Below are 19,274 nucleotides of genomic sequence, written 5' to 3' on the forward strand. Positions count from 1 at the left end.
GTGCTTTTCTTTATTTTTATTTGCCCTTGAGGCAGAGCTGCATGTTGGGCCCAGCATCTATACAATGGTGAAATCAGTCATGGTAGCCCTGCAGGCCTCTCCTTTACATATTGTGTTTGTATAGTTCCTCCCACGGCCCCCATTACCACCCAGAAACTTCTCTCTATCTCCCACTGCTGTTCTTCACCATTGTCAGAACTTGTCTGTTCTCTATTCTGATCCTGCCTTTGCTTTCCACGTTGACAGTTATTAACCTTTTGAGGCCATTGTGAGGTTATTAATTGACTGATACTAATATTTTTGGTGTATTCTGAGTGCCTGAACTCAGAGGTTTCTCAAGCTGTTATCTTGCCTGAGTTCCCTGGGGAGATCTTTAAAATTATGTGTATCCTACCCCACCCCTCCAGCAGCAAAATCTCTGGGGATGTGGTTCAGTAATCCATGTTTTTAACAAGTTTCTCAGTGGGCACCAGCCAGTAGACTGACAATTGGTGGTCACTGTCTCACCTAAATGGTGGAATTTTAGCAGGGAAAAGACATCAAAGTGGGTGCTCTTCTGGGGGTATCACAAAGGTGTTTTTCTACTGCATGTGCCAGTAGTGTTATCCTGACTGTCTATAGGTACACGAGTCAGTCCAGGCCAAGTCCTTACTGCTTTATCTGTTTTGCATACTTAATTTCTGGGAATTAAACACACTGGTAAAAAGAAACGGGAGACAAATGACAGCTGTGTCCTCAACTCTATCTAGGGAGCACATACTCTGAACATGAGATGGGAGGTGTCTTTCTATATTCCCTTAGTCACTGTTGGTCCACACCTATCACTGCCATCTCACCTCACCAAGTGTGAGCCTGGTCTTTAAGACTACGTACATTTTGTGCAACATGGTCCCCAAATGGGTGCCAACTCCTTCCCCTGCTATCCAGTCTTGAAAAGAGCCATCACCTCTGAAGCTGGAGAAAAAGCTGGCGGTGCTGAGCTGACTATGTGGGATTCTGAGATGTCTCCTGCCCAGAGGATATCCAGGAATAAATTTGATCAACCATAAACACTGAGTTCAGTCCAACCCTTGAAGTAGATGGAGGTTCACTCTTAGACAGGGTTATATTAGATGTCAGCAGTAGTTCATGTGGTAACTTCCAGAGACAGGTAGAGGCCAGAATTAGTTCATAATAAACATACATGATGTGAAAGGAGGAGACTGCTTGACACAGTTGCACCTCTGTAGCACACGGCCCAGTGCTGAGCGTCTGGCAGGGCCTAATGCACAGCCCTGCCAGGTGGCTGAGTGACTGAGGGTGCTAAGAGGGAGGCTCCAGTATAAGTAAACATGAGTAGGGCCATGGACATTTTGCAGCCAAATAGAATGTTCACAGATGTCATGACATCTCAAATGATGGTGAAGGATATTTTGCATTATTTAGAGCCATTTATAAAAGCAGAAGAAAGTGAAGGGGAGTTTTAATAAGCAGCTCTATGAACAGCAAGTGTTTTTTCATGTGAGTCTCACATGTTGTATCACATGAATCTTTCCCACTTGGTGACATTCAATGAATAGCATTTACCCAAGAATATTGATATTTAAATGCCCTGTCCTTACTTGTAGAGGCATAGGATGAGGGCTGCAAAGTCCTAATTCTCCAGACAAAACACAAATTTCAGTGTATCTTTCCAAATGAATAGTATTCATTTTAGGCCAGATGCGTTCTTGGATTAATTGAAACCAGAATTCTGGAAATTTCAACATTACTTAAAGCAGTTTCATCTACTTATCAAGTATTATCAAGCAGAAGTGGATTTTCTTTCTGTAGCAAAAGGGTCTTCTTTTATGATTACAAGTTAACTGCAGTCTTTCTTTCCCTCTGCCCTATTCTGGAGAGTTCCACGACATTTTTATACATATACATTCTCTTCTTTATGAACTTCCATGTGAAGGTGCAGGTAATCAACTCGCATAAAAACCGAATACGATTCAGCATTGTGTTAAAGTGAGATGATGAGCAATGTCTGAGCAGTCATCTTTCTCCATTATTTTGAATGTTAGCTATTCAGTAGAGAGTTGTGCCATGTTGTAATTGACAATCTTCAAGATTGTAAAAATGGGAAATGGGTTCAGGACAGAAAAAAATGATCTCAAGGCTGGAATGTGATTCCCATAAAACAGTAGTTCTCAAACTTGAGTGAGCTTCGGGATCACCCGAGGGCTTGTTCCTCTACAACTTCTGATGCAGTAGATCTGAGTGAGGCTGAGAGTTTGCATTTCTAACTAGTTCCTGAGTGCTGCGGAGGCTGCTGGTGGGGAACCACACTTGTGGAACTACTGCCACAAGAAATAGCCTGAAGAATAGGGTTTAGATACTCTGCAGGCTTTGCCATATTGCTGCCGTCTATTGACTTTTACAAGGACTCATTTCCTCAGTTGAATTCACTGCACAGGTTTGTGTTTCTTGGTTCATATTCTGTCTTAAAAACTGTCAATTACCAATCAACATTAAAAGTCAAGATATTTGTATTAGTCCATTTTCACACTGCTATAAAGAACTGCCTGAGAGTGGGTAATTTATAAAGAAAAGAGGTTTAATTGACTCACAATTGTGCATGGCTGGGAGGCCTCAGGAAACTTACAATCATGGCAGAAGGGGAAGCAGGCACATCTTACATGGCGGCAGGTAAGAGAGTGAGTGAAGGGGAAAGAGCCTCTTATGAAACCATTAAATCTCATGAGAACTCATTCACTATCATGAGAACTGCATGGGGGAGACCACTCCCATAATCCAATCACCTCCCACCAGGTAGCTCCCTCAACATCTGGGGATTACAATTCAAGATGAGATTTGGGTGGGGACACAGAGCCAAACCATATCGTTATTCTATAAAATTTTAGAGTTGTAGTTTCTCTCATAATAGGTTACACCTGGCAGTTTGGGTCCAACATTCCTATATGACAAGGCCGCTGCTGGCGCTGAGCAGCAGCTGTCCCCATTAGGCAGCAAATGCATGCTTCCTTTGGACATGACCCTCATCACCACTCTTCATTTCCTCTCAGCCCACTTCACTCATATGGTTTCCCTCCCACAGGTGTGGAGTTCCTGACCACTGCTCTAGGGGAACAGGTACTTGCTGTTCCCCAGCCTCCGGGGATTTGTTCCCTTCTCTTAGGTTTGCCCGGAGCCTTCCCTCTTCTTCTCCAGCCAGAGGCCATTTGTCCTTGCCTGAGCCCTAAACTCAAAACTCCCTAGGAACTGTCTTAAGGAAGTATAGCTTTGTGTCCAATACAAATATTGTTTCTGGACCTGTCTTTCATCTTCATTCTTTGGTGAGTCCAAGAGAGCAGGTTCTCTACTTCTGAGCAATCCTACTGCCTTTCACTATATCCCATCCTGCCAAGAAGTGTGGTGTAGAGGGCCTAGGGTACCTGCCTGAGCCCTTCCCCCTAGTGTTTATGTCCTGTGTAATCTCTTTACCTTCTGTGTGGGCAGGACCTGTGGCTTGCTTTTAACCAATGGAATCTCGTATAGGTGAAGGGTTTTGTTTCAAGTCAGTTGATTTTTGAGTTAATCAGAAGGGATATCCTGGGTGGGCAGGTTTTCCTTCCTTCCTTCCTTCCTTTCTTCCTTCCTTCCTTCCTTCCTTCCCTCCCTCCCTCCCTCCCTCCCTCCCTCCCTCCCTCCTTCCTTGCTTCCTTCCTTCCTTCCTTCCTTCCTTCCTTCCTTCCTTCCTTCCTTCCTTCCTCTCTCTCTCTCAATCTTTTAAGTTCTGGGATATATGTGCAGGTTGTGCAGGTTTTTTACATAGGTAAACATGTGCCATGGTGGTTTACTGCACAGATCATTCTGTTACCCAGGTATTAAGCCCAGCATCCATTAGCTATTCTTCCTGATGCTCTCTCACCCCACAAAGGTGCCCCAGTATGTGTTGTTTGCCCCCATGTGTCCATGTGTTCTCATCATTTAGGTCCCACTTATAAGTGGGAACATGTGGTTTGGTTTTCTGTTCCTGCATTAGTTTGCTGAGGATAATGGCTTCCAACTCTAACCATGTCCCTCCAAAGGACATGATCTTTTTCCTTTTTATGGCTGCACAGTGGTATATGTGGTATGTGTGGTATATGTACCACATTTTCTGTATCCAGTCTATCACTGATGGGCATTTAGGTCAATTCCATGACTTTGCTATTGTAAATAGTGCTGCAGTGAACATACACATGCATGTTATCTTTATAATAGAATGATTTATATTCCTTTGGGCATATACCCAGTAATGGGATTGCTGGGTCAAATGGTATTTCTGCCTCTCTAGCTCCTTGAGGAATAACCACACGGTCTTCCACAATGGTTGAACTAATTTACACTCCTGGGTGGGCCTTATTTAATTGAGAATCCTGGAAAGAGGGACTGGACCCTCCACAAGGGCAGAGAGACTCTCCCTGATGGTGTGATGAAGCCTTTATGGCCAGAAACTACAGGCAGCCTTGAATGTGAGAGTGGCTTCCAGCTGACAGCCAGAAAAAGGCTGGACCCTCAGTCTTACAGCAAAAAGAAATGAATTCTGCCAACAATCTAGGTGAGCTTGGAGGCAGATTCTTCCCCAGTCAAGCCTGCAGATGAAAACACAGCCCAGTTAGCACCTCGATTGTAGACTTGTAGGATCATGAGCAGAGGACCCAGCTTGTTTGTGCCCCAACTCCTGACCCACAAAAACTGTGAGATAATAATAACTGTTCTGTTTTAAGCCACTACATTTATGATCATTTGTTATGTAGCAGTAGAAAACTAACACAAGAAGCAAGGAGAAGGGAGAAAGGGAAGGAAATTACTTACCTAGCAATGCTATAAAGCATCCGCAAGCCTAGTGGCTTAAAATAACAATAATTTATTATTTCTTGTGATTCTATGGGTTAACTAGGTGGTGGTTCTGTTTCACATGGTATCAGGTGGGGTCCCTGGTGAAGCTAGGAGCTTGACTGTCTGCCTCAGTTCTCCTCTCCATGGGCTTTCTCTCCACGTGGTGTCTCATCTTCCAAGGCAACCCTGTGTGTCCACTGTCCTCAGTACAGTAGCCTGGATTACCTTACAGTGTAGCAGCTGGGTTCCAAGAAAGGGAAAGCAGAAGGAAGTTGGGGAACAGACCAGGGGGGGCATTTGTGAGTGTCATTTGTAAAAGCTGCCTACCATCCAACAGGGCCTTGCTCCAAGCAACTGCTTAATAAAGCATTTTAGAGTGAGTTGGAAGAAGGAATGCATTATTGGTGATTTTAACTGTGAGCCTATGAAGGCAGCATCATGATTGCTTATGCAATGTGTCCCTTGCCAGTATTTCATTTCTGAGAGCAGAAATGAGGAGCTATTTATTCATTTATTGGATGCCATTTACTTTTGCCTAATATCCATTGGTTATGACTTAACAGCAGCTCTTACACACTTGGAATAAAATATGAACTCCAATATGAGAGGAACTCATTCCAGGACCTGCTCAGGAAATAAAGCTGCATTCACTTTATGTAGCTGCTTTTCCAAGTGAACTAAAAAAAAGGAAAAGTCATGGAATTATTTATCATTACCTCCCCCTTGTTGCACAAGACAGAGAAGCAATGGCTGGATAGGTAAGAAAATGATTAGCCAGGTTATTTAAAGGAGAGGTTGACAAACTGTGGTCCATGTGCCAAATCTGGCCCATTGCCTGCTTTTGCAGCTTATGAGTTACGAATGATTTTCACATTTTTAAATGTTCAAAGAAACAGTATTTCATGGCATGAGAACATTATATAGAATTCAAATTTCAGTGTCCACAAGTAAGGTATTATTTTGACATAGCCACACCCATTTGTTTACTATTGTCTATGGCTGATGGCAGAATTCAGTAGTTGTGACAAAGACCAGATGGCCCGTGAAGCCTGAAAAATTTACTATCAAGCCCTTTAAGAATATGGTTTCCCACCACTAATCTAAAGGAACCTTTTAAAAATTTAGACCAACCAGCATATTGCTGAAAGTCATTGAGATACCCTCAGAATTTCATGGCTCTGCTGAATTCAACAGAAGATGGTAATGACGGTTTTTCCCTATTTTTCCACTGCTTTTTTCTACTTGAATACATGATTGTGTTAGTCCATTCTGCGTTAGCATAAAGGAACACCTGCGGTTGGGTAATTTATAAAGAAAAGAGGTGTATATGGCACGTGGATCTGCTGGATGTACAAGAAATATGGTGCCAGCACCTGCTCTGCTTCTGTTGAGGGCCTCATGCTGTTTCCACTAATGGCAGAAGGTGAAGGAGGAGCAGGTATGTCACATGGTGAGAGAGGAGGAGGTAAGAGAGAGAAAAGGGGTAGGGCCAGGCTGTTTTTAGTGATCGGCTCTCACATGAACTATTAGAATGATAACTCAGTCATTACCATGGGGCAGCACCAAGCCAATCATGGAGGATCCAACCCCATGACCCAAACACCTCCCACCAGGTCCCACGTCCAACATTGGTGGTCAAATTCCAACATGAGATTTGTAGGGGCAAACATCCAAACTATATCAGTTACACTAGCCAGATAATAAATGGTGGAGGGCTGGGAGACTTGATGCCGAATACTCCTTTTCATGCTGGAGCTTCTCTTACCAAAATGTTTAGCGGCCCTTTCTCCTTTTCCCTCTCTCCTTGCTTCTTCATCAGTGCTACCATCAAGACTGGGATATCTTACATGGTAATGGGGTTGCTTAGAGGTAGAGTAGGCTGCCAGGCTGCCCAGCCTTGGCCTGGAATGTTGAAATGTAGGGTCTTTATAAATGCTAGACTTGACTGCCCCTTGAACCTGGTTTTGGTGGTGACATGGACACAGGACAGAATTTCACAGCTTTCAGGTCACTGTGGTAACAGGGAACAAACACCCTGGAGAGAAATTAGGCTCCCTCTACAGAGGCTCGGGAAATCAGAGACTCCCTATCTCAGTCAGCTTGCGCTGCTATGACAAAATATCAATGACTGGGTGGCTTATAAACAACAGGAATTTATTGCTCACAGTCCTGGAGGCTGGAAGTCTGAGATCAGGGTGCCAGCATGGTACAGTTCTTTTTGAGGCCCCTCTTTTGGGTTGTAAACTGCTGCCTTCTCTTGGTATCCTCACCTGGCATTGAGTCAAATGAGGAAGCAAGCTCTCTCATGAGTCTTATAAGGACACTAATCCCATTCATGAGGGCTCCACCCTTATGACCTCATCTAATCCTAATTACTTCCCAAAGGCCCCAACTCCTAATACCATAACAATGCAGGCTAGGATTTCAACATAAGAATCTTTGGGAGACACATTCAGTCCATAACACTGTCTGTTCCTGTGGGGGCAGAGTTGACCTATCCATAAATTAACAACCCTTATTTTGCCTTGTGTTACACTTTAGGGAGTGAGGATTTGGCCTGTAACTGTCAAATAACAGAGCCCATCCTAACTGCTTCTACTGTGGGTAAAATAATGACATACTGCCTAGGTGTGCAGGTGGATGGTGACCCATCTACACCTGTTAGATGTCACTGCATGAACTGACCCTCACCTGGTTGTGTTTTGAGCCACAGAAGCAGTACTAGAATGTTCTACTTCGTCTTCATTTCCCTGAACCTGAATTTTCCTCAGTGAGCTAATTTTTTTTTTTAGGGTGATATTTCAAACAATTGTAGGGTAGCTTGTTTTTTTGTTTTTTGTTTTTGTTTGTTTGTTTGAGACGGAGTCTTGCTCTGTCACCCAGGCTGGAGTGCAGTGGTGTGATCTTGGCTAACTGCAACCTCCGCCTCCCGGGTTCAAGTGGTTACTCATGCCTCAGCCTCCCGAGTAGCTAGGATTACAGTCAGGCACCACCACACCTGGCTAATTTTCTTTATTTTTAAACAGAGTCTTGCTGTGTTGCCCAGGCTGGAGTGTAGTGGTGCATGTTCTTGACTCACTGCAACCTCCGCCTCCTGGGTTCAAGTGATTCTTCTGCCTCAGCCTCCCCAGTAGCTGGGATTACACGTGTGTGCCACCACACCCAGCTAATTTTTATATTTTTTAGTAGAGATGAGGTTTCACCATATTAGCCAGGCTGGTCTTGAACTTCTGACGTCAAGTGATCCACCTGCCTCGGCCTCCCAAAGTGCTACAATTATAGGTGTGAACTACCGTGCCAGGCCTACTTTTTGTATTTTTTATAGAGCTGGGGTTTCACCTTGTTGGCCAGGCTGGTTTCGAACTCCTGGCCTCAAGTGTTCTACCTGCCTCAGTCTCCCAAAGTGCTGGGATTACAGGCCTGAGCCACTGTGCCTGGCCCTCAGTGAGAGAATGTTTTAAACCAATTTCTTATACCCCAATTTATAAACCAATACTAATGATAGCTAATTCCTACTGAATGCTGAGTGTCAGAGACTGTTCTAAATGCTCCGTGTGTATCTAATTCTCACAGAAACCTCATGAGAAGTATACTATCGTTATCCCCTTTCACAGTTGAGGAAACTGAGGCATGAAGAGGCTACATTCAGGATTCCCTGACTAGCATTTGGTGGACCTGAAATGACCACTCCAGCACTCAAATGCTGAGCCTAGACCCTTAACCAGGATGCAGACATCTTGAGAACAAAACAAGGTAAAATGACCATAGGTCAGAGGAAGAGCTGTCCACACTCTATACATTGTCATCGGGACAGTAAGTCCTTTTCCTTGGCCTCCTGCCCCCAAGTACAGGAGGGTCTGCAGAATGTCAGGAACTCGTTGATCTTAGATTAGAACCCACTGGGGCTACAGTCAGAGAGCAGGAGAACAGCAAATTGTGGGGCCTCAGGATGAGGCTCTCTAGATGTGATTAAATGATTTTCCTCTTCTAAAAGGACAGGAGAACTTCAAGATGAGTGCGATTTCCGTGCTGTGTACTGTGCGTTTTATCTTCAGTTATCTCGAGAAAAAAAAAAAAAAAAGCAAGGATGGTAGCTTTGAGGCCATGTGAGAGGCTCAGGGCTGCTGGAGGATCCTTGGTAGCCTGGTGAGGACTGCAAGGAGGGCAGAAGCAGCTCTTGGTTTGAGGGTAAAGGGATGCCCTTGATCATGGAATGGCTTAGGGGACCTGGCTCAGGGCACTTTTGGAACTCTGTTGGAAGTGACTGTCCTTTGGGCTGGTGTCACATGCATCTTCGAGGAGGGGCTGGCTTGGGGATTTTGTGCCCCAAGCCTCCCCCGTGCTATAACTTGGAGGATAAAGCCTCAAGCCAGCCTTGCCCCAGTGGCCTCCGGGGTGCTGAAAGGCTTAGCTTTACCGTGGCGCCTCTGAGGGGGTTTTGTAAAGCTCAGGAATCCCCTCTTCTCCTGATAGTTCTGTGGGGCATGTGCCATTCTGAGGGCCAGAGTTCCTGAGCTGATTCAGGGATTATTCTTTTAAGAACCCAACCCTTCACTCATCTTAAGCAATTTGGAAGGGATGTTTTGTTCTTTCTTCCCCACTAAACTGCATTGTTCTCTTCTCTGACTTTAAAATCATTTTACAAAGCATTTTCTTTGCCTCCCTTTGACTGGTTGAGAGGAGAAGGGATTTGCCCAACTCCACAGGCAACTTGGAAAGGCGTTAAGATCATACTGTGCCCAGAGAAGCCTCACAAAATAAATGCTCCACCCACCCCCTAGCCTCCACACGACCGTCACTCTGGCTGTCTGTATTCTTCATCCCATAGGACTGGATTAATAAGGGATGTTGAAGGTGGCAAACGTTGCTGGCAGCGGAAAAAAAGGGAAGGAGGTAGCTGTCTTAGGGTAATGCATTCATGCAACAGGTATTTATTGAGGGCCCGCTGTGTCTCGCAGTCCATTGTAATGGAGCCCAGGAGTAGGGGGCTAAGACACCTCCAATGAGATCACATAGAGCAGATAACAGATCACAGGTAACCAGCAAATGAAAAGACCAAATCATTTAATCATAAGTCTTCTGAACAAGACAAACAAGAACCTGAGACAGAGAATGGGTAATGGCAGCTCTCCTAGACAGGGTGGCCAAGACGAGCCTCTTGGAGGAGAGCATGTGTGAGGGAGAGGAGCTGGGTGGGGAAGGCATTCATGGCAGAGGGAACAGTACTTCAGAAGCCCTGGGTAGGAAAAGGTGGATGTGTATGAGGAGCAGGAGGAAGTGCAGGTGGCTGGAGCCCAGTGGACATGGGAACAGGGTGATAGGAAGGCTGGCAGCACAGGCAGCAGCCAACTTCTCTGGGCTTCAGTGGGCACAGTGAGATGTTGGGATGTGATCCAAGGGGTTGGTGAGGAGCCATGGGAGGCTTTTTTTTTTTTTTTTTGAGACCGAGTTTCGCTGTGTCACCCGGGCTGGAGTGTAGTTGCGTAATCATGGCTCACTGTAACCTCCGCCTCCTGGATTCAAGTGATTCTCCTGTCTCAGCCTCCCAAGTAGCTGGGATGATAGGCGCACACCACCACACCCGGCTAATTTTTGTATTTTTAGTAGAGATGGGGTTTCATCATGTTGGTCAGGCTGGTCTTGAACTCCTGACCTCAAGTGATCCACCTGCCTTGGTCTCCCAAAGTGCTGAGATTACAGGCATGAGCCACCGTGCCGGACATATGGGAGGCTTTTGAATGGAGAGGAGTGAACTGACTGTTTTCAGAAGGGCTCTCTGGCAACTGTATAGGGAATTGTCCTAGGAGACATGGACTTGGGCTGCATGTACCGATGGTATTAACTCTCCTCATCACACCTGATTAAAAAGGGTGGGGAGTGTAGGTAGTAGACCTTTTCACTTCTGTGAATGCTCCAAGATGCTCCTATTTCTCACTGCTGTTTCATTCCAGGGGTCTCTTGGGTGCTGACATTTCTCTCTTCTCTTTTTCCCTCCTTTCCTCTTTCTCTTTCTTTCTCCTTCCCTGGCTGAAGTCACATTTGGTCCAAAAGTTTTGAGTGAGTTTGAGTCATTGCTGTGTTTCTTCAAGGGTGATAAATCCTAAAGCTATCTCAGGAAAATAGGAACACTCATTTCTCATGGTCAGTCAACAGCATGACAGGAAAAGGCATTTTCAGTCACTGGGGTGAGAGCTCACGCAGGCCCTCCCTGCAGCTGAAGGGAGAGTTGAGATGGTTCATTGTCTCTGGTTTAATTACTTCTGCTGGTATTAGACATCTTGTGACTCCAGCAAGAAGAACATGACAAGACAAGTTAGGAACGAAGCCACTGATGCACGGCTGCTGCCAGCCATTGAAAAATCACTTCATGTCAGGGGCCCACGACAGATGCATGGTACTTCCCCTGTGGTGGAAACTGTGGTTTCTCTTCCTGGGTGTGGCACTGGGGCCTTGGGCTCCATCCAGGTGCTGCGGACCTCAGAAAGCAGGTGGGAGGACAGTGTACATTCTCTCCAGGTGACCTCCACCATCCTCTAGTAAATGGCTATCTAGGTAGCCACTCTTAAGGGAATCCTCTCCTCTGCTGGTGTTGGGGAAGAGTCAAACTGTTACCTTAGTTCACTGTGTAATGCTTAGCCCCACCCAATGGGGAGCACTTCTAGTAGCATTCTTATTTTGCAGGTGAGAGAGCTCAGAGGATTTAAGTCCCTTGCCACTGAGCCCACAGCAATGAAACTGGAAGTCTCCAGTTTCAACCCATATCCAGCTGTCTCCATATCTACTACTCTTAAATTGTAGCACATTGGAGTCACCGAGGGGTTGGCAGTGGGGGGTCTTGCCAAAAGTGATTCGTGGGCTCCATTTTCTGCAGGCAGAACCCCAGAATCTGTGTTCATAGGTGGCTCATAGATCATATTTTGGGGTTTTGAGGGGGTTAGGGTGCCCTCCGGGGCTTGGCAAAGAGTGTTTCTGCAAGCCAGAGCATGTCCAGAAGTGCCACTCAGTGTGGTTGTATTCCCAGTGAATTGGACAGGAATCAGGGACAGGCATCTACCAGTTATTTGAACAGAGAGAATTTAATGTTAAAAATTGCAAATCTAGTATTGATGAGATGAAAGGACAAAAGATAACTCTAGGTTTTCTTGGAAGTAGCAACTGCAGGCAACAGCCACCACCTCAATAGTTCGTATGGGAGGAGGGGCAGAGGAAAGAAAGAGGTTACTAAAATTTAGAAGCTTGGGGGAGAAGCTCTATCAGGCTGGGACCCGGACCTCTGGCAAGGGCATGCCGGCGGGCAAGTGCTAAGGTCTCTGAGCTCACAGGAGGGTCCTGTGGGGATGCGAATCAGACTTTTTAGGAGGGAGTTCTGGGGTCTCTGAAGGAGATGCAATGAGACTGATTCTGTGAATGCTGGCGAGCTACCACCTAGGTTAATTTACTGCTACTGGAATGAGCTGTCCTTGCTGGAGTGAAGAAACCCTGCTAGGATGAAGGCGTTGGGAATGAGAATCCAATGGGAAGCAAACAGGAAGATCCCTCTCCCTCCTCCATGGATGCAACATCCTCCTATTGACCTTATTGGCCAGACCAGGCAGACCCTAGCCAGGAATAGCTGACAAAGCAGAAACGTGGTTTGCAGAGCCCCAGCGCCAGTCCCAAGCTGGGGGCCCAGCCTCACAGAGCCCAATCCAACGTGTGCTTGGTGCTGGACATGTTAGCTTATTGGCTGGAATACCCAGTAATGACTGGAAGCTTGCTGCATGAATTCTGTATTATTTGCAATCTACTGATATGTCAAGTTCTTATTTCCTAGGTTTTTATTTCTCTTGGACTATTGAGTAGGGCTCTTGGGGGTGTGGGTGGGAGCGCAGTGCTGCCTAATGGAAAAAGGGTAGTGTCTGGATGCTGACAACTCAATTTCTCCATCTGTAAAATGGGGCTAATTATACATATCTGGCAGTATTATTAAGAATTAAACAAAATGTTGCGCTCCCAAGCTCAGTGCTGGGCACACAGCAGGCACAGTACACAATGGCTATATCATTATCATCGTTACCATAATTTTCAACCACTCGCATTGTTAAAATCCGTCTGCTGTAGTTAAAACATAGTTGTACTGGATGGATTTGGATGTGGGAAATAGAAAGTGCTCTTTTATCCTGAATATGGATTAATCTTGTGTGCTGTTGTGGTTGACTTAGAAGAAGATTAAAGTATTCTACTGCATTTCCAAAACATACCCAGGTTTTTCTTTATCACCTATTTCACGAATAAATATATGTGCATTATCCATTTTACCTGAACTCCTGGTATCTATCAAAATATACTGAGAAATATTTGACCAGTTGGTATCATTAATTAATGATAAGTAGTAGCTAATGTTCATCAATTCAAATGAGATGAGTTTCAAGAAACAAGAGCCTGTCTGTATTAGTGAAATATAAAAAGGAGGTTTGAAAAGTAGTGTCACTTTTATATTATTTGTCCATTTTCTAGAGTAGTGGTCAAGGCTCAGACTACCTGGGTGGGTATCTAGGCTTTACTGTTTCTGATCTGAGTGACTTCAGGCAAGTGATTTCCTCTCCTTGTGCTGTGGTTCCCTCATTTAGAAAATAGGAGACAAGAACCATGTCCCCATCTTGCAGGGTTGTTTTTGGGCAGATTAGTAGTGCCCAGTGTCTACTGAGTCCTTGAGGGGAGGCAAGTGCACAGTGAACATTAGCAATGGAGAAGATTATGGTCCATGGGACCCTGGACCAGGATCAGCAGGTGCCTCTGAGTAGGCATCCTTAGGCAGCCTGTGCTGCTATGAACACAGAGAGGATACAGACTTGGCATGGTAGATTTGGGAATGTGTATGGCCTGATGATTGGTTTTCAAAGCACTTAATTCTCCGAAGTGACCTTGCATTATTTTCTTATCTCATTCACTCCCTTGGCAAAACTCTCCCAGTAAGTGGTTGGATGGGAAGTCTCCCAGCAGCCTGTTTGTGAGAGACCATAGACTGTGAACTGGCTGGGACCCCAGTGAATGGCGGTCCCCTCCAACAGAGGCTGCTGGTCTCTGGCAGTCAGAAACTGCCCAGTGGCATCCCAGGAGAGCCAGCCTGGCTGAGCCCCATCCTGCCTGTCCATGAACTCATCGGGCGAGCTGTGCCCACTTTCCTGCCATTTCCTTTGTAGGATAGGCCAAGAAGGGGAGCTGAGCAGCACTGAGAAGAGAGCAGGGCAGCCTCTCCCAGCTAGGAAAAGTGCCCAGTGTGCAGAAAATTAGGGGCCCACAGGCCTGGCAGCCAGCTGTGCTTCCCCACTCCCTGACACCCTGCTACCTGCACACAAGGTGCAATCAAATCGCATGACTTCCCAATTCTCAGATGGATTTGTTTTACCAGAAGCAGGCAGGCACCCTGGCCTGTTCTCCACACAGCAGCAGAGTAACCCTTCCCCCTTCCCCAGTTAGAATTGGTACACAAAAATTGCACATAATTATACAGTTGGTGCATGCGGATGTATGTATATGCTCATGTTATGATCACAGTTTCATGCGCGTCCGTGTGAAGAAACCACCAAACAGGCTTTGTGTGAGCAACATGGCTGTTTATTTCACCTGGGTGCAGGTGGGCTGAGTCCGAAAAGAGTCAGCCAAGGGAGATAGGGGTGGGGCTGTTTTATAGGATTTGGGTAGGTAAAGGAAAAAGGGGGGTTGTTCTCTGGCGGGCAGGAGTGGGGGGTCACAGGGTACTCAGTGGGGGAGCTTTTGAGCCAGGATGAGCCAGGAGAAGGAATTTCACAAGACAATGTCTTCAGTTAAGGCAGGAATAGGCCATTTTCACTTTTGTGGTGGAATGTCATCAGTTAAGGCAGGAACCCGCGGTCTGGATGTGTACGTGCAGGTCACAGGGGATATGATGGCTTAGCTTGGGCTCAGAGGCCTGACACACAGCCCAGGTGATAAACATATTTATCACCTCCAAACATTTCCTTGTGTCCCTTCTTTTTTGTTTTGTTTTTGTGATTAGAACACTTAACGTGAGATCTAATCTCTTACCAATTTTTTGGGTGCATAGTACCATATTGTTAACTATAGGCACAATGTTATACAGCAGATCACTGGAACTTTCTCATCTTGTATAACGGTAACTTTATACACATTCAACAACAGCTCCCATGATCTCTCTCCCTGCCGGCCCCTAGTAGCCACCATTTTGTTATCTACTTGTATACCTCTGACTATTTTAGATGCCAGGTAGATGAGAAATTCATCACAGTATTTGTCCTGTGACTAACTTATTTCACTTTGCATAATGTCTTCCAGGTCCATCCATGTTGTAAATGGTAGGATTTCCTTCTTTCCAAGGCTGGGTAAGATTCCATTGTATGTATATAAGGTCAGGTGCAGTGGCTCACACCTGTAATCCCAGCACTTTGGGAGGCCGAGGCAGGTGGATCATTTGAGGTCAGGAGTTTGAGACCAGCCTAGCCAACATGGTGAAACCCCGTCTCTACTAAAAATACAAAAATTAGCCTGGCATGGTGGCACATGCCTGTAATCCCAGCTACTCAGGAGACTCAAGCGGGAGACTGGGAGGTGGAAGTTGCAATGAGCTGAGATTGCACCACTGCTTTCCTGCCTGAGCAACAGAGTGAGTGAGACTCTGTCTCAAAAAAGAAAAAAGAAATTATATTGTATGTGTACACTACATTTTCTTTATCCATTCAGTTGCCAATGGACATTGCATTGTTTCCATATCTGGGCTGTTGTGAATAGTGCTGCAGTGAACATGGGTATACAGATAACCTCTTTGAGACAGTGATTTTATTTTCTTTGGACATATACCAAGAAGTGGGATTGCTGGATTATATGGCAGTTTTATTTTTTAATGTTTTGAGGAATCTCCATACTGTTTTCATAATGGCTGTACCAACTTATATTTCACCAACAGGGCACAAGTGTTCTTCCTTTTTCTCATCAACACTTGTTATATTTTGTCTTTTTGGTAATAGCCATCCTAACAGGTGTCAGATGGTATCTCATTGTGGTTTTGATTTGCATTTCCCTGATGATGAACAATGTTGAGCAGCTTTCCATTTACCTGTTGACCATTTGTATATCTTCTCTGGAGAAATGCCTATTCAGGTTCTTTGCCCATTTTTAAAATCAGGTTATTTGTTTGCTATTTTTAGGAATCTCTTATGTTTTGGAAATTAAACCCGTATCAGATAAATGGTTTATAAATGATTTCTTGGAGATGACACCAGAAGCATAAGCAACAAAAACAAAAAATAGATAAATGGGACTACACCAAACTAAGAAGCTTCTGCACAGCAACGGATACAATCAGCAGAGTAAAGAGGAAACCTATGGGATGGGAGAAAGACACTTTGAAAACTGGAGGCTTCTGGTACCAAAGATCCCCCCAAACCTCCACTCACTCCCCGCTCAGTGCAGAGTTTAAGCCAATGTCTTGGTGGGAGTCAGCAAGGCCTGGTGTGATGGGTGCCTGTTCCCTGCCTTCCTCTCAACTGCTGCCCCCTCATGCCCTCTGCGCAGCCCACTGTTCTCAGGCATGCAAGATACACAACTACTTTGGGGTCTTTGTGCTTCCTGTTCCCTCTCTCTGGGGCACTTTGCCCCCAGATTGCCACATTGACTTACTCTAACTTCCTTCATGTCTTTTGCTTAGGTACTACTTTTTCAATGAGCTCTATCCTACTAGATTTAAAGTTGTCCCCTGTCCCCTGATCTCCAGCTATCTTAGTCAGTGCTTTTCTTTTACTGATAGCACCTTTCATCTTGTAAAAAATTAGATAAATAACACAAGGAAGTAAATTTTTGTTATGTCATCTGCTAGAAGCAGAACACTTTGTGAGCTGGGCACTGCGTTTGTTTTCTCCGAAGTGCCCAGAGTGGTGCCTGGCACACAGTGTGCGTTCAGGGAGCCTTTGGCAGGAGGGTGTGAATGCCTGCTGAGCACTTTGCTGCATTTCCTATGAGCATCACTTCATTGATACTCCCAGCACTTTTATGATACAGATATTTATAGTATATCCCTTTTGTAAGTGAGAAAACTGAGTTGAGAGCAGGTTAAGTAACTTGACTCCAAAGCCCATACCTTTCACCTGATCCCCAGTTCCTCCTCCTCCTCTGAATCTCTGGGGGTAGACAGAGATCATATAAGTCTGCCTACGGCTTCCCTGTTGAGCTTCCTTGGGAATGCAGAGAGCATCCAGGGACCTGGGGAGTGTTGCCAAGAAGCGTGTCCTGAATTTTGAATGGTGCTGGATGAACTTTCAGGAAAACTGCCACGGGGACAGAGAGAGTGACCTTGGACAGGAAAGGCTTTCAGGTGGTAGAATTTCCTTGCACCTTGAACATCTTTGTAGTACGTAAAGCAGTGGTGATGATTGCTGTCATTTATCTCTGCGGTGTTTGTCTTCTTTAGTAAACAACAAGATCAGTTCCTGTTTTGTTCTCCCCCAGAGCTTAGTGCCTGGCACAGTGCTAGATGCCTAGGTGGTGCTCAGTAAACATTTGTGGAAGAAGATCAGAACAAGCAGATTTAGGCCAAAGCATGGTGTCTGCATCCTCCCTGCAAATCCCCAACTGCTTTGTGTATTTAATGGCATAGGCAGACAAAATAATGACTTACCCTTTGAAGTCAATCCTGACAACCCAAAGGGAATGATTCCCAACTCAAAACCTGACCGTGAGCCTTGCATCTCCTAGTACTGAATACTTTTTCCATGTCATTGGGTCCTCATCAGAGAGGAGCCTTTTGGTTTCTTTTTTTTTTTTTCTTTTTATTTTTTTTTATTTTTGAGACAGAGTCTTGCTCTGTCGCCCAGGCTGGAGTGCAGTGGCACCATCTTGGCTCACTGCAAGCTCCGCCTCCCAAGTTCAGGCCATTCTTCTGCCTCAGCCTCCTGAGTAGCTGGGACTACAGGCGCCCACCACCATGCCCGGCTAATTTTTTGTATTTTTAGTAGAGACGGGGTTTCACCGTATTAGCCAGGGTGGTCTCGATCTCCTGACCTTGTGATCCACCCGCCTCGGCCTCCCAAAGTGCTGGGATTACAGGCGTGAGCCACCGCACCCGGCTGCTTTCTAAGCTAACTTTATTGGTAGAGAAATCACCTTTACACCTCATAAATGAAGCTCCTTCTTCCTGTAGATTTTGGGAAATCCTGTATTCTCAGTAGGCTGGCCCTTACATTCTCTCTTCAAACATCTGGAGATAAAACCTGAGGCTCCCAATGCCAAATGGTTTTGGCCATCAACAGATTATCTGCCCTACTTACCTTACCTTAATCATTTCCATAAAAATATGAAGGGAGGAGATTTATAGGGCTTAGTGAACATGTTCCATTACTGCAGCCCAGCACGCCAGGCCCTGGCTCCTCTCAGACCCTTCTCTCGGCCCAGAGCCTCCCACAAGAGCCTTTGTGCTCCCTCCCTCCCAAGATCTCCACGTGAAAGTGGAGCTCGGTTCATTGTTTGCTCATTCCTAATGTAAAAATAGATTTTGTTCTATTCTGCTCACTCCTCGGGGATTCCTATCTAGAAAAGAAAACAGCTGAGGTTGGTGACTGATGGGCCTCTTTGGGGGAGGCTTGTAAGAGCTGCATGTTAACTGTCCAGAGTGAATCCTGCTGCCTGCCGCTTGCCGAGCCTTATTGGGAAGCAAAGAGGCCCATGTGGAAATCTGTGCTGGAATGCGAACTGAAAGTAAGATGTCGAGGGAGGATTAGCCAAATGGCCAGGAAGGCTTCTGAGGCCCCACCAGAACCCTGGAACAGATTTCCAAGGTGCACTTGGATCTGGAGAGGGTCAGCCTGGCTGGGGGACAAGTGTCTAGAGCCTTCTAGGTCAAAGCCTGAATTTTTAGCCCTTTCAACCCTTACTTCTATGAATCGGACCCTCAAAGCCCATGGAAACTTTAGGGTTTTTAAGATTTGGATCACTTTAATTTTGCTTTCAGATGATGTGTTTCTATGCCTCAATGGGACAGAAACAAAAACTAACGGTTTTAGAATTTCAAAGAAGACTGTTCTGGTTCAGAACTCCAAATGTCTGTGTGAGCCAAGGACATACTTATTGAAATGTGTTTCGTCTCCACAGAATAATTACCTTAACCCTCCTAAAGTACTGACTCTTTCCCTTCCTCTTGACTTAGGAAAGGGGCTATATGCTCTCTTCATTAAACAAAACTACAGGTACATTAAAAAAATCCAGAGAGAGTCATCTTAAGCTAGGGATTGACAGCTGGCTCACTAACATCAGGAAAAAGGGGTGGGGTGCAGATGCTGGGGTGTGGATCTCTGCTTCCACCTCTTGTAAGCAGAACACTTAAAGATTCCCAGTTTCCTCTTGCTGCAATAGATTCACCAGAGGTGGTAAAAGGCTGACTTAGCAGTCTCTCCAGGCTCTCA

General features: G+C 45.4%; 1 protein-coding gene across 1 annotated transcript in view; it reads left to right on the forward strand.

The window, feature by feature from the left end:
* The window catches only part of CACNA2D3 (calcium voltage-gated channel auxiliary subunit alpha2delta 3), a 952,006-nt gene that overhangs the window by 519,964 nt on the left and 412,768 nt on the right, over positions 1–19,274 (forward strand). The gene's annotated exons all lie outside the window — the stretch shown is intronic.

The sequence above is a fragment of the Homo sapiens genome, chromosome 3, assembly GCF_000001405.40.
Source record: "Homo sapiens chromosome 3, GRCh38.p14 Primary Assembly".
In the NCBI taxonomy this organism is placed as follows: domain Eukaryota; kingdom Metazoa; phylum Chordata; class Mammalia; order Primates; family Hominidae; genus Homo; species Homo sapiens.